This window comes from Homo sapiens, chromosome 14 (genome assembly GCF_000001405.40).
Source record: "Homo sapiens chromosome 14, GRCh38.p14 Primary Assembly".
NCBI lineage: Eukaryota > Metazoa > Chordata > Mammalia > Primates > Hominidae > Homo > Homo sapiens.
In genome coordinates, this window is record NC_000014.9 from 96187427 (window position 1) to 96200208 (window position 12782).

The 12782-nt window shown below is 51.0% G+C and overlaps 7 annotated features.

Annotated features, from left to right (window-relative positions):
- Nucleotides 4298-4905: an enhancer, noted in NCBI's record as "NANOG-H3K27ac-H3K4me1 hESC enhancer chr14:96658061-96658668 (GRCh37/hg19 assembly coordinates)". NCBI's record gives its function as "activates a minimal SCP1, AML or CMV promoter by ChIP-STARR-seq in primed H9 embryonic stem cells {active_cell/tissue: H9 hESC(primed)}" and the evidence as "EXISTENCE:reporter gene assay evidence [ECO:0000049][PMID:30033119]".
- Nucleotides 6123-6731: an enhancer, noted in NCBI's record as "H3K27ac-H3K4me1 hESC enhancer chr14:96659886-96660494 (GRCh37/hg19 assembly coordinates)". NCBI's record gives its function as "activates a minimal SCP1, AML or CMV promoter by ChIP-STARR-seq in primed H9 embryonic stem cells {active_cell/tissue: H9 hESC(primed)}" and the evidence as "EXISTENCE:reporter gene assay evidence [ECO:0000049][PMID:30033119]".
- Nucleotides 6732-7339: an enhancer, noted in NCBI's record as "H3K27ac-H3K4me1 hESC enhancer chr14:96660495-96661102 (GRCh37/hg19 assembly coordinates)". NCBI's record gives its function as "activates a minimal SCP1, AML or CMV promoter by ChIP-STARR-seq in primed H9 embryonic stem cells {active_cell/tissue: H9 hESC(primed)}" and the evidence as "EXISTENCE:reporter gene assay evidence [ECO:0000049][PMID:30033119]".
- Nucleotides 7340-7947: an enhancer, noted in NCBI's record as "H3K4me1 hESC enhancer chr14:96661103-96661710 (GRCh37/hg19 assembly coordinates)". NCBI's record gives its function as "activates a minimal SCP1, AML or CMV promoter by ChIP-STARR-seq in naive H9 embryonic stem cells {active_cell/tissue: H9 hESC(naive)}" and the evidence as "EXISTENCE:reporter gene assay evidence [ECO:0000049][PMID:30033119]".
- Nucleotides 7398-7517: an enhancer, noted in NCBI's record as "active region_8984". NCBI's record gives its function as "activates an Ori minimal core promoter by ATAC-STARR-seq in GM12878 lymphoblastoid cells {active_cell/tissue: GM12878}" and the evidence as "EXISTENCE:reporter gene assay evidence [ECO:0000049][PMID:35858748]".
- Nucleotides 7948-8555: an enhancer, noted in NCBI's record as "H3K4me1 hESC enhancer chr14:96661711-96662318 (GRCh37/hg19 assembly coordinates)". NCBI's record gives its function as "activates a minimal SCP1, AML or CMV promoter by ChIP-STARR-seq in naive H9 embryonic stem cells {active_cell/tissue: H9 hESC(naive)}" and the evidence as "EXISTENCE:reporter gene assay evidence [ECO:0000049][PMID:30033119]".
- Nucleotides 10346-10952: an enhancer, noted in NCBI's record as "H3K4me1 hESC enhancer chr14:96664109-96664715 (GRCh37/hg19 assembly coordinates)". NCBI's record gives its function as "activates a minimal SCP1, AML or CMV promoter by ChIP-STARR-seq in naive H9 embryonic stem cells {active_cell/tissue: H9 hESC(naive)}" and the evidence as "EXISTENCE:reporter gene assay evidence [ECO:0000049][PMID:30033119]".

The following is a 12782-nucleotide window of genomic DNA, read 5'->3' on the forward strand; positions in this document are numbered from 1 at the left end:
AGGCATCCACTAGCTGTCTAGAGAGCCCGGATTCCCTGGGGGACTTTCCAGGCCTCTGTGGCCTGCCCAAGGTCACCCATCTGCATGGAGCTCATTCATTTCTTCTCACTCTGGAGTGCAAGAGGCCAGACGTTTTTTGCACAGCAAAACTCCAAAACCAAAACCACAAAAGTCCTGTACCTGCTTATCTACGCGTTCCATTCCATCCATCAGAGTGAAAATCCAAGCAAGGTTTTCATATGCCTGATACTGGCTGACTGGGTAACCATGCACACATAAAATCATTTTTTTACTCATCCACCTTTCTCAAGTGACCACAGGATTGGAGACAGTGATGTATAGAAGATGAGATCGCTGCCTCCAGGACTCCATGGGAGGGAGAAAAGACATCCATCCAAATAATCACTGAGCACCTGCTCAGCTCCAGGTGCCCAGGGAAGGGGAGTAATCTCTTGGCAGACACAAAGTAAGACAGGGAGGTACAGGCGCAGTGGATACACATGGCAGGGCAACAAGCCCCTGCAGGCTGAGCTTCCAGAGAAGGTTCTGTGGGGCACCGACGGTTAAGCTGGGGCCTGAATGATAAATGGGTGTTGCCAGATGCAGGGAAGAGTGATGAAGCAGGTGGATTACTTGAGGCCAGGAGTTTAAGACCAGCCTGGCCAACATGGTGAAACCCTGTCTCTACTGAAAATACAAAAATTAGCCGGGCGTGGTGGCAGGTGCCTGTAATCCCAGCTACTCAGGAGGCTGAGGCAGGAGAATTGCTTGAACCCAGGAAGTGGAGGTTGCAGTGAGCCAAGATCTCACCACTGCACTCCAGCCTGGGTGATTAAGCAAGACTCCATCTTAAAAAAAAAAAAAAAAAAGTAACGAGGAGAGTTCCAGGACTAGCAGAGGAAAGATTTAGCCAGTACACACTGGATATTAAATACCAACATACTTCCTTATGTATGAATAGATACCTTCCCACATCCCATCCCAACACTCAGCTCACCCCAACCCCTGCTCCTGGAATCTCCTTTTATGGGGTAAATAGTGTCCCCCAAAAAGGAGTTGATGTTGTAACCCCCAGTAGCTGTGGACATGACCTTATTTGGAAATAGAGTCTTTGCAGACAATCAAGTTGAAAGGAGATCATTGGGGTGGCCCTAATCCAATGTGTTCTTATATAAAAGGGAGTAACTTGGACACGGATGCGCACACACAGGGAGAATGCGATGTGCAGACAGGAGTTCTGCTGCCACAGCTAAGGAGTTACCAGAAGCTACAGAGAGGCCTGGAACAGATTCCCCCTAGAGCCTTCACAGGGTTCCCGGCCCTGCCCACACCTTAATGTCAGACTGTTAGTCTCCAACACTGTGAGACAATCAATTCCTGTCGTTTAAGCCGCTCCATTTATGGTACTTTGTTGTGGCAGCCGTGGGTAACTGACACACTCCCTATGATCCAAACGTTAAAGAGGAAACTCCTGGTAGACCAAGAGGTCTCCAAGAGGCTGTTCCATCATATTGCCATTGGTAAAGATTTTAAACATCACTCCTGGAGAAAGCAAATGTAAAAGTCCTGAGTCCAAGATCTCTCTGAAACTGAAAGAAAGCTCCAGGGGACAGGAGAGAGAGCGTGAAAGTGGGAAGAAGAGATAGCAGGAGCCAGGCACCACCGGTGGCTTGGTCCTTACTCTAAGAGCAACAGAAGCACGGTAGAGTTTTAAGTGACAAATGCTGACTTACGCTTTTGGAAGGGCCCTTGGGCTGCCAGGAGGGGAAGGGGCAAATGTGGCCGTGAAGACACTTTGTAGGAAGCAGAGCCTTATCCAGGCCGGAGAGGTGGGTGGCAGCTCTGTGCTGGGGGTGGGAACAGCTGGGGGAGTCCTCACTTCTGTTTTGTCTGTAAAGTAGCAGGAAAGGTTATTTGCGTGGGATGATGGGGAACTAGAAGGTGTCAGGGTGTGAAGGACAAGCAGATGGGAACCCCTGGGAGGCTCTGGGCAGCCCGTGGGGTGCTGCCAAAGCTGGTGATTCTGAGTCAGCAGTGGTGTTGTGTGTGGTCTGTGTTGGTATGTGTGTGCTGGTATGTGTGACGTGTGTTTCTGTGTGTGTGCGTATGTGTATGTGTTGTGGGCTACTTCAGATTGGGCAGTCAGGCAGGCTTCTCTGGGAGAAGTGACACTTCAGCCAAAGTGGCCAGGGGACCGAGCTGGGGGAGGCCCATCGTCAGTGCCCTAGCGAATGTGGAAGTGCTCGAGGGACAGGGAGGGGCCGACGGCCATCGCACCAGTGAGGGGGAAGGCAGACGCAGTGTGAGCAGTCCAGTAACTTATCTGGAAGGCAGGAGGGTTATAGGCAGAAAATTAAATGACAGTATTGGCTAAAAGTGGCAGATTCATCACACGTCAGTGTGCTCCCTCTCCCAAAACCCCTTTAAAAATATTAGTAAAGGTGTTGCGATTTTTCAAAAGATGTTGCTGTACAAGAACACAGCACACAGAAGATGCTGCAGTAGCAGCTGAGAGTCAATAAACTGTTAGTTGACTGAAAGCAAGCCAGGGATCTAGCAGAGTGAAGACGGTGTCCACCCAAGGGCATGAGGAAAGGGTGCCGTCAACAAGCCACTTGACCACAGAATCTAGGTGCTCAGTGTTTTGAAGTGGCAGGTGTCACAAAAGGAGGGCGTTAGATATGAGACTCAAGAAAAAGGAGATTGGATAAAAATTTGTCTGCAAAATGGTTGTGTTCTCAGTCCCCTCCTTCTAGCCTCTGTTACGCTCCCTCTGACCCAAACATTAAAGAGTAGACCAAGAGGTCTGACTCCAGCAATAGCTTCTTCTCCCTTCCCCCACTAAATACCTCCAGCCCCTACACTAGCTTTACTCTCTGGGAAAATTAAATGGGAGAGATTAGAGGTGAGGCATGAGGCTGAACAGCTTAGGGTTCCATGGAAATCTGTATGTGGAGCTCTGGCACCCCAGGCTCCTTCTGGGTCCTGTTCCCACAAGGCCGATGCCAGGCATATGCTTGTCAGGCAGGGACTGCAGGGCTCTAGAGGGAACACCTGCAGAGCTGACATTGGAAGTGCTGACGAAAAGAGTCAAACTCTGTAAAATATTTGAAGAGATTTATTCTGAGCCAAATATGAGCAACCACGGCCCATGACACAGCCCTCAGGAGATCCTGAGAACATGTGCCAGGGTGGTCAGGGTGCAGCTTGGTTTTATACATTTTAGGGAGGCATGAGACTTCAATCAAATACATTTAAGAAATACATTGATTTGGTCCAGAAAGGTGGGACAACGCAAAGTGTGTGGTGGGGAGGGGTGTTTCAGGCTATAGGTACATTTAAACATTTTCTGGTTGACAATTGGTTGAGTTTCTCTCTTTTTTTTGGCATTCCTCCTTTTTTAATTTTTTAATTTTTATTTTTTATTTTAGTTTAAGTTCTGGGATACATGTGCAGAAGGGGGAGGTTTGTTACATAGATATACATGTGCCATAGTAGTTTGCTGCACCTAGCAACCCATCATCTAGGTTTTAAGCCCCATATGCTTAGGTATTTGTCCTAATGCTCTCCCTCCTTTTGCCCCTACCCACAGACAGGCCCTGGTGTGTGTTGTTCCCCCTCCCTCTGCCCATGTGTTCTCATTGTTCAACTCCCACTTATGTGTGAGAACATGCGGTGTTTGGTTTTCTGTTCCTCTGTTAGTTTGCTGAGAATGATGACTTTTGGCTTCATCCATGTCCCTGCAAAGGACATGAATTCATTCCTTTTTAAGGCTGACTAGTATTCCTAGTGTATATGTGCCACATTTTCTTTATCCAGTCTACCATTGATGGGCATTTGGGTTGGTTCCATGTCTTTGCTATTGTAAATAGTGCTGCAATAAACATACGTGTGCATGTGTCTTTATAGTAGAATGATTATTTAATGGGTGCAATATTTTATCCTTGTGAGGTTTTAATAATAATTTAATTTTTTTTGATAGTCTTCACTGCTTATTCTTGGTCTCTTTCCTCTTTGCTTGTTTAGTGGGTTTCTTCAAATGGCCAGTGCTGCTGGCCACCTGCTTACACTGCATAGTGAGCTGGGCCCAGGGTCTGCACAGCTGGTCTGGCCTCAGTGCCAAGAGTGCTTCATGGAGGAAACATCCAGCAGCAAGCTAGGAATGCCGGTGGGGGCCTTTCTGAGGACTAAGCTCTGATTTTTCAATCTTGCCCAAATTCCTATCTAAGGGGTCTTGGGAGTCATGCCTTACAAACCATACATTCTCATCAGATGTGTTTTATTTAACCCTATATATCGTGACTTACTTTCCAACCTGACTCTGGCATAATATTATGAGATAAGGAGGAAAATCAAAATATTTTACCCCAAAACATTTTTCTTTGCTGTATCTTGAAATGGCCCTGCAAAGCCGTCCTTTGTGAGGGAAAATTTGCATCTGAAATGAATCTCTATTAACATAGCTAGATCTTTTTCTTCCAGGCCCTCCCAATCCTGAAGAGATTAACTAAGAGTCTAGCACATTTTAAAGATCTGAATAGGAAAGATTTGTCATCCATTGTCTCTAAGGGCAGCCAATATAAGACTTCAAAAGAACCCTGGTCTCCACAAACTTTTATCTTAACCTGAACATTTCCTTTCTATTGATCCCAGGTCTTTAGACCATTTGACTCAGCAATCCCATTACTGGATATATACCCAAAGTATTATAAATCATTCTACTATGCAAACACCATCCTTGGGGATGTCAATGTTTTGCCAAGCAGGAAGAGCAGCAGGGACAGACATCAGAAGGGCTCTTACTGTCCTCATGGGATCCAAAGGGCACAACACAAAGGCAGTGAGGAAAGGGAGGGTGGCTCTAGGCTCAGAGCCTGGTGGCGCTGCCACTGTGTGCAGTGACCATGCAGTGGGGATGGGGCCTGCTGGATGGAATTAAGTCACAGGACCTCACTGGATGAAGCTCGTTAGGAGGGGCTCAGATGGTGGGGAGGGGTAGGAAGCGGTCCTCTTGCCCAAGGACCCATGGCACTGGTATGGGTGAGCAGCTCAGGGGACCAACTCTGGGGCAGGCATTACAGCAAGCAGCGGCCGGAGTGTGAACAGAAGTTTGCTCATCTGACACCTGGGGCTGGGCAGAGCCCCTCCCGGGGGCAGCTCTGGGCAGCCTGTGGAGAGACTGATGCAAGACAGGCAAGTTCAGAGAACGAAAGATTCCTTCCAGCTGAGGGACACCTGGAGGAGGGGACATTGGCGCTGAGACGTTCTAGAAGGTGGGACTTGTAACATGGAAAGATGGGGAAATACACAGCGTGGATCTTGCTAAGTGCAGGGGGCTGTTCAGGCAAAGGCTCAGAGGCAGAGAATGCCAGGGACATGTGGCCCAAATATGGGAGGTCTGGAGCGGGGTCGTTGTGAGTGTATTGGTTCTTGTGGGTCTTTCCTGCCTCTCTGAACACCCTTTCTGGGTGTGGGGATTCTCCACCTGATGAGGGTGGCAAATGCTCTCCCATTCTTTTCTGCACCTGGGGTGCAGGTGGTAACCAGGATTCCCTCATAGGATGCTCCCACATGGGCCTTTGAACCAGGAGCCAGTGATGGGGAGAGGTGAGCACACTAGGAACCCGTCCAAGGAGGGTGGCAGAAGCTGCAGCCAGCTCCCAGATGCATTGGGGCAGCGTGAGACTGTCCAGCGTGGCCAGGGCTCAGCAGCAGCAGCAACTCCAGATCTGTGACCACAGAGGCAGCGGCAGTGTCTACGCAGGAGCAGCTCTGAGGTGACGTTTGGGCACCATCATTCCTGGCTGCTTGTCCCCTAGAATTCCCCTGACCCCCACCAGCCAGAGAACTGCTGAGTCCTTTTCGGGTGGAGGAGATGCACAGACCGCCTGGGTTTCTATTGTTTGTCTTGAAGCACTCCGTATTCAGGGGAAGAAGGCGTTTGTGATTCAATCAATAATTATTCACGACACACTTCCCTTTGCCAGGCACCGTGCCAACCTCCATAACAACGTAATTCACTTTTGCTTCCATTAGATTGCTAAAAATGTCCCCAAATAAACCCTGGAATCAAAAAAGGGACCTTCAGAAAAGGAAAGGTCACCTTCTCACTTTCTGAATCATCTGGTCTGGGAAAAGAGCCTAGCTCGGTGCCCGGAAGGGCGGCCAATCTAACAGCCTCCACCCACATGGGCTCTGCTGCAGGGGGCCCTGGCTATTCCTGGCAACAGGGGACTCTGGATTCTGCTTCCAACTCTACCCCTTGGGGTTCGTTCCAGGGCCACGTTTAGGAAGGTGGTGTCTATTTACGGGGCAGGAGCGACAGGATGTGTTGCTCAGGGCCACCTTGATGTCTCGGGGCTGGCTCCTCCCTCCGTCCAGCACCCCTCCCCCAGGACTGCCACATCTCCCAGGACTGCCACTCTCATGACTCGCCAGGAGACCAGGGGACCCTTTGCCACCTCCGATGTGTAGCGGGTAGAGGGCTGGGGGTGTTCATCTTGACAGGGAGAAAGCGGGACCAGCTTCCCAGCTCAGGGAGTCCTAGGCTGGCACATGGGGACAGAGGTGGCTTCCATGGCCATTTGAAGGGCAGATGAGTGAGAATTCTGGGGGATCCATGAAATGGAATAGGAAGGGTATAGACTGAGGAGTCAGCCAGAAACTGGGTTCACAGCTGGCTGCAGCCTCTCTTTCTCTGGCCAAGGGGTGTTTATCAAGCACCTGGCATGTGCCTGCCTGCGGATCAGTGGATGGCACAGACACAGCCCTTGCCCTCTGCACGTTCATGGTGACACGGGAGAACAGCAAATCAACAAGCTCACCACTCCATAGAGGAGGTATGCTGCATGCAGGGAGGGCAGAAGGCACCTCCCTAAGCTGCTGCATAGGGAGGGCAGAAGGCACCGTCTTCGTCAGGATGGCAGGGGAGGCCCCTGAGGAGGAGCCACTGAGCTTGTGCCTTGGGGAGGAGAGGCGCTGGACATGGGGGGCAAGGGGAGAGCTTTCCTGACATAGCCAGTGGCCTGCGGCAGCACGGGGCAGGTGAGGAGGCCTGCAGAGGGTGGTGATGGGGGCTGGGGATTGCTGAGAGACGGTCGGAGGTGTGGGGCACTGGTGAGAGACGGTCGGAGATGTGGGGTCCTGGGGCTCACACCCGGCAAGGTGAGAGGGTGTTTGGGTTTTATTGTGGGTGCAGTGGAAACCAGAGGATGGCATACCTTCTTAAAAATTTCTCTGGACAGTGGTTGCCAAGGGGTTGGGGGTTGGGAGGACTTTGACCACAAATGGGACACGCAGGCCACGAGGGTGACGCACTGCTCCAGGGGGCCAGAGCCGTGGTTCTGCACCTGTCAAAACCCACGTAACTAAACACCACAGAAAGTGAACTGTACTGTTGTGCAATGTTTTCTAAGTTCTTTAATTGAAAAGGCCCTTCCAGCAGCTGTATGAAGGTGTGGCCGAAGTGTGGGAGGCAAAGGAGGGGAAGTGAGAAACCGGCCAGAGTCCCAGAGGAGACCCCTGGTCAGAGTGTCTGGGTGAGGTGGGTGATGGCCGTGGGGAGGGGGCTATGAGCTCAGGTCCTCTGGGAGCCTCTGAGGAGCCTCAGTTTCCTCATCAGGGACACTGTGCAGCAATTTCCACTCAGGAGCTGTCCATGTGGTCTGGGGATGGTGCCTATAACCTGCCTGGCAGGGCCTGGCTGGAGCAGGTGCTCAGCCCTTAGGAGCTGGATGATTGACCTTTTTCCAGAGGGTGGCTGTGGCTGGCCTCAGGGTGCCTGGAGGTGAGCCATCCACCCACGGAGCAGGGAGGGGGCCACCTTCAGAAAACAGACCTGAAGGGGAACTGTTCAACAGTGAAGGACACCTGGCTGGAGGCCCTTGGCCTACAGATCAAGTGACGTCACCCCAAGCCGAGGAATGTGACCCAGAATGTTGTGTACTTAGAGGGCTTCTCTCTCCCAGGGAGGTCTGAGCATTTTTATGGGGGCCAAATCAGGATCTGGCTGAAGCACCAGCCTTGGGAGGGGGAAGGTGCAGGGCGGGCAGCTCCCAGGGAAAGGTGTTGGCTCAGGACTGGAGCTCCAGGCTGCAGACCAGGGCACTGGGGTCAGAAGGACTGGATTCCTGCTTCAACATGGCCACGCATTACCTGGGCGGCCCTGGGAAGGTCACTCGCCTCTGCCTGTTTATAAGGTCAGATGAGTAGAACATGGGAACGTCCCTTGGTGCACTATGAAATACTCTCCCAACACAGGGATGGACAGGATGGTGATGCTCACGGTGACATTTGGCACCTTGAGTGGGTAGAAACTCCACTGCCCCTGGGTCAGTGTCCTTCCAGACTCAGTGAGCTGTGTTTGAACCTGAGAGTGGAGATCAAAAGACAAAAGGGATATTGCTGGTAGGAATGTGCAGCAGCCACTGAGTAAACAGTCCAGCCACTCCTCAAAAAGTTAAGCATAGAGTTAACCACGTGACCCAGCAATTCTCTGGGTCTTCCCAAAAGAATGGAAAACAGACTCAGGCAAACACTTGTACGTGATTGTCCCTAGCAGCATTAGCCACATAGTCAAGAGATGGGAATAGCCTGAATGTACATCAGCTAGTGAATGGATAAACAAAACATGGTATATTTAGATAGCCTTAAAGAAGAATAAAGTACCTACGCATGGTGCGATATGGATTGTGTTAGTCTGTTTGCATATAAATACCTGGCCGGGCACGGTGGCTCTTGCCTGTAATCCTAACACTTTGGGAAGCCGAGGCCGGTGGATTGCCTGAGCTCAGGAGTTCAAGACCAGCCTGGTCAACACAGGGAAACCCTGTCTCTACTAAAATACAAAAAAATTAGCCAGGTGTGATGGTATGCACCTCTAGTCCCAGCTACTCAGGAGGCTGAGGCAGAAGAGTTGCTTATACCTGGGAGGCAGAGGTTGCAGTGAGCTGAGATTGCACCACTGGAATCCAAACTGGGAGACAGATCAAGTCTCCGTCTCAAAAAAAAAAAGAAAGAAATACCTGATACGGGGTAACTCATAAAGACAAGAGGTTTGCTTGGCTCACAGTTCTGCAGACTGTACAGGAAGCACAGTGCTGGCATCTGCTTCTGGTGAGGGCTCAGGAAGCTTCTGATTGTGGTGGAAGGCAACTGGAAGGTGGCGTGTCATGTGGTAAGACAGGAAGCAAGAGAGAGAGGGAGGAGGTGCCAGGATCTTTTAAACAACCAGCTTTTGAGGGAGCTCATCGTGTAAGAACTCATTACTGTGAGGACAGCACCAAGCCATTCCTGAGGGATCCACCCCCATGACCCAGTCATCTCCCCCTCAGCCCACCTCTAACACCAGAGGTCACATTTCAACATGAGATTGGAAGGGGACAAATATCCAAACCATATCACGGATGAGCCTCAAAAGCGTTTTGCTAAGTGAAAGAAGTCAGACACAAAAGTTCACATATTGTAAGGTTTCATTTATACGAAATGTCCAGAACAGGCAAATCCATAGAAACAGAAAGTCAGCTGGTGGTGGCCAGGGGCTGGGGGTAGGAGGGGGTTCTGGGAGCAACTGCTTAGTGGGCAATGTGGTCCTCTCTGGGGGTGATGAAATGCTTTGGAACTAGATAGAAGGAATAGTTGTACCATATTGTGAATGTACTAAATGCCAATCAGTTATACACTTTAAAATGGGGAATTTTATGTTATGTGAGTTTCGCCTTGATTTTTTCAAAAGGGAGGAAAAGAAGGGGTGCTTGTGGCCACTGCCAAGAAGAGAGGAGTAATCCAGTGAGGACTGGGCTTTACGCAGATTCCCACCTGGCCATCCCAGTAGCCCTGTGATGGACCTGTTCATATTAATACTTCCATTCTACTGGTGAGGAGCCTGGGGCTCCTGCCCAGGCTTGTGTGGGTTGTGAGTGGCGGCGCTGGGCTTGAAGGCGAGGTCCGTGGCTGTCTTGTGCAGTCCTTGCCGCAGGCCTGCCGCTCTGCTGCTTGCCTTGTAGCAATCGTCTCATCTAATTTTCACAAGCCGTGCAGCAGGTGCTGTCTCTGTGTTATAAAGGGCATGGGTGGACCGGGGGGTTACAGCCACCCTGGTGACAAGTGATCAGAGGACAGGAGGTCCCTGGCCCAGGGCCTTGAAGGAAGACAAGTCATGGGTCACTTGGGAAGGCACAGACCGACAGTAAGAGGCTGTGACAAAGCGGCTCAGAGGGAACGCGGGCTTCGGGAGCAGGCACATCGTGCGGGGCTGGAGAGCAATGGGACTGGGTCTGCAGCGCTGTGAGGAAGGGAGTCCAGGGGAGGAACAGCACACGCCAAGCACAGTGTGAGCCAAGAACAGGGCCCCAGGGGACTGGAGGCCTGGTCAGGTGAAGGAGCTGATTGGTAGACAGGCGGACCAGGTGGACATGGCTAGATCATGGAGGGCTCCTGCCAGGTGCCAACCCCCACTCCTGTGTCTTCTCGGAGGCAAAGGCCCCTTGTGCCACCTCTGGTGGCCAATAGGCTGGAACCTGAACTTGGGATATGGAGGGCAGATAAGGGTGGGGAGGGCTATTCTATGGGCAGGCCGAGCGGGCAGCCTGGGACTCTGGCTCAGCTGTCAGTCCCAGAAGAGGGGTCTGAGGAATTCCAGGAAGCGAGGGGAGGAACCAGCCCCACTGCCCCTGCCTCAGAATCCCCCAGGCGGACGTCCCAGCACCAGGAAGTGAGTAACTGCCTCTCCAGACCTGCAGACGACAGCCCCGCTGCCAAGGATAGAATTAGGAAGAGTGGCCAGGCCGACTGCCAGGCTGAGGGCTACTTCCCGCCAAACCTGGGAACCCACCGTCACCTCCCAGGGCAGCAGAGGGATAGACGGACAGAGGAAGGACTGGCCTCTTCTTCACCTTGCCCCCACCTCAGGTCCCTCTCCATCTCACTTCTGGAGGTTTTTGCACCAGGAATAGCCAGGACTTTGCTTGCTTTAAGCGTTTATTTCTTCCAAACGCATTTCATAAACCCTTCAGAGGACTTTGCATATTTTCTTAACACTAAGGACCTCTATTTATAAGACACCAGCTTTCAAGGGAAAGAATAATTGCAGATTAAATCTACCCACTTCAATTTCTTAAGTGTTAGAGTGGAGAAAAGTCTCTGAGTTGGGGAAGTCCCTGCCAAGCCCTGGGTGAGGAACTGGGCATTCCCTCTCTCCCTTGTTTGCCCAGCAACCCCCAGAGGTGGAGGGTAGGGCTCACTTCTCCAGAGTCTCGTCACTCCAAGTCTCTCTGCTGGAAGCAGTGGTGCCCGGTTCAGAGACACTCAAAGTGAGTCCAAGGCGTTCCATCCAGAGGCCACGCTTTCCATTCAAACCAGGACTTGCTTCAAAGGCAGAAAGAAGGCAGCGGCGTTCTAACAGATACCAAGGCAAGAGACCCGGTCACATCCTTCCTTACTGGTGTTGTTTCCCTACATTGGCCAACCACACCCACCGAAAAGGGGAGGGCAGGGCCCCAGAGTTCCTGCTCCTTTGAGTCCCCCCACTCCCTGTGAGAGGAAGGTAGAGAGTGCTGATGAAACGTGCACATACCAAGAAGTGAAAGGAAAACAGATGAGCTTGTTTTCTGCAGTGTTTCTGCAAGCTGTGAAATAGGCACAATTCTGGTGGTTTTAAATAAGAGCTAAATGCACTGGTTTTTGTGCTTATAACTGGCATTGAGTGATATCAAGGTGAATGGTAAATGCATGCTAATAATTTAACGTTTTAATTTTTCTATACTCTCAAGGTGAATGGTAAATGCATGCTAATAATTTAACGTTTTAATTTTTCTATACTTAGAACAACATTAAACAGCAAATTTTAAAAACACCATGACAGGCCAGGAGCAGTGGCTCACTCCTGCAATCCCAGCATTTTGGGAGGCTGAAGGCAGGGAGATCACTTGAGGTCAGGAGTTTGAGACCAGCCTGGCCAACAGGGTGAAACCTCATCTCTACCAAAAATACAAAAATTAGCTGGGCATGGTGGCACACACTTGTAATTCCAGCTACTCGGGAGGCTGAGGCAAGAGATTTGCTTGAACCCGGGAGGTGGAGGTTACAGTGAGCCAAGATCACACCACACCACTGCCCTCCAGCCTGGGGGAGCAACAGAGTGAGACTTGGTCTCAAAATAACAAAACAACAACAACAACAAAAAAGAACACTTGTCATGACAAGTCAAAAGAGAGACCACAGAAGAAAGGAAAAAGCCTTATGGCTTAATACCTTTACCAACACTTCTTTCCTGCTTTTTGAGGAATGGGCCCATTTTTCACTTTGTACGGAGTCCCACAAATTCTGTAGTTGGCCTGCCTGTCATACGTTTCCGTGAATGCTAAGGAAAGGATGGTGGCTGGAGGCGGAGCTGTGCAAGAAGAAACAGCAATACAAAAGGGGGAAATTCGGCCGGGCGCAGTGGCTCACGCCTGTAATCCCAGCACTTCGGGAGGCTGAGGAGGGCGGATCACGAGGTCAGGAGATCGAGACCATCCCGGCTACCACGGAGAAACCCCGTCTCTACTAAAAATACAAAAAATTAGCTGGGCATGGTGGCGGGCACCTGTAGTCCCAGCTACTCGGGAGGCTGAGGCAGGAGAATCGCTTGAACCCGGGAGGCGGAGCTTGCAGTGAGCCGAGATCGTGTCACCGCACTCCAGCCTGGGGGACAGAGCGAGACTCCGTCTCAAAAAAAAATAAAGGGGGGGGCGGAATTCCGCTTACAACAACAGCATACATAATATGATCCTGTTCATGTAAAG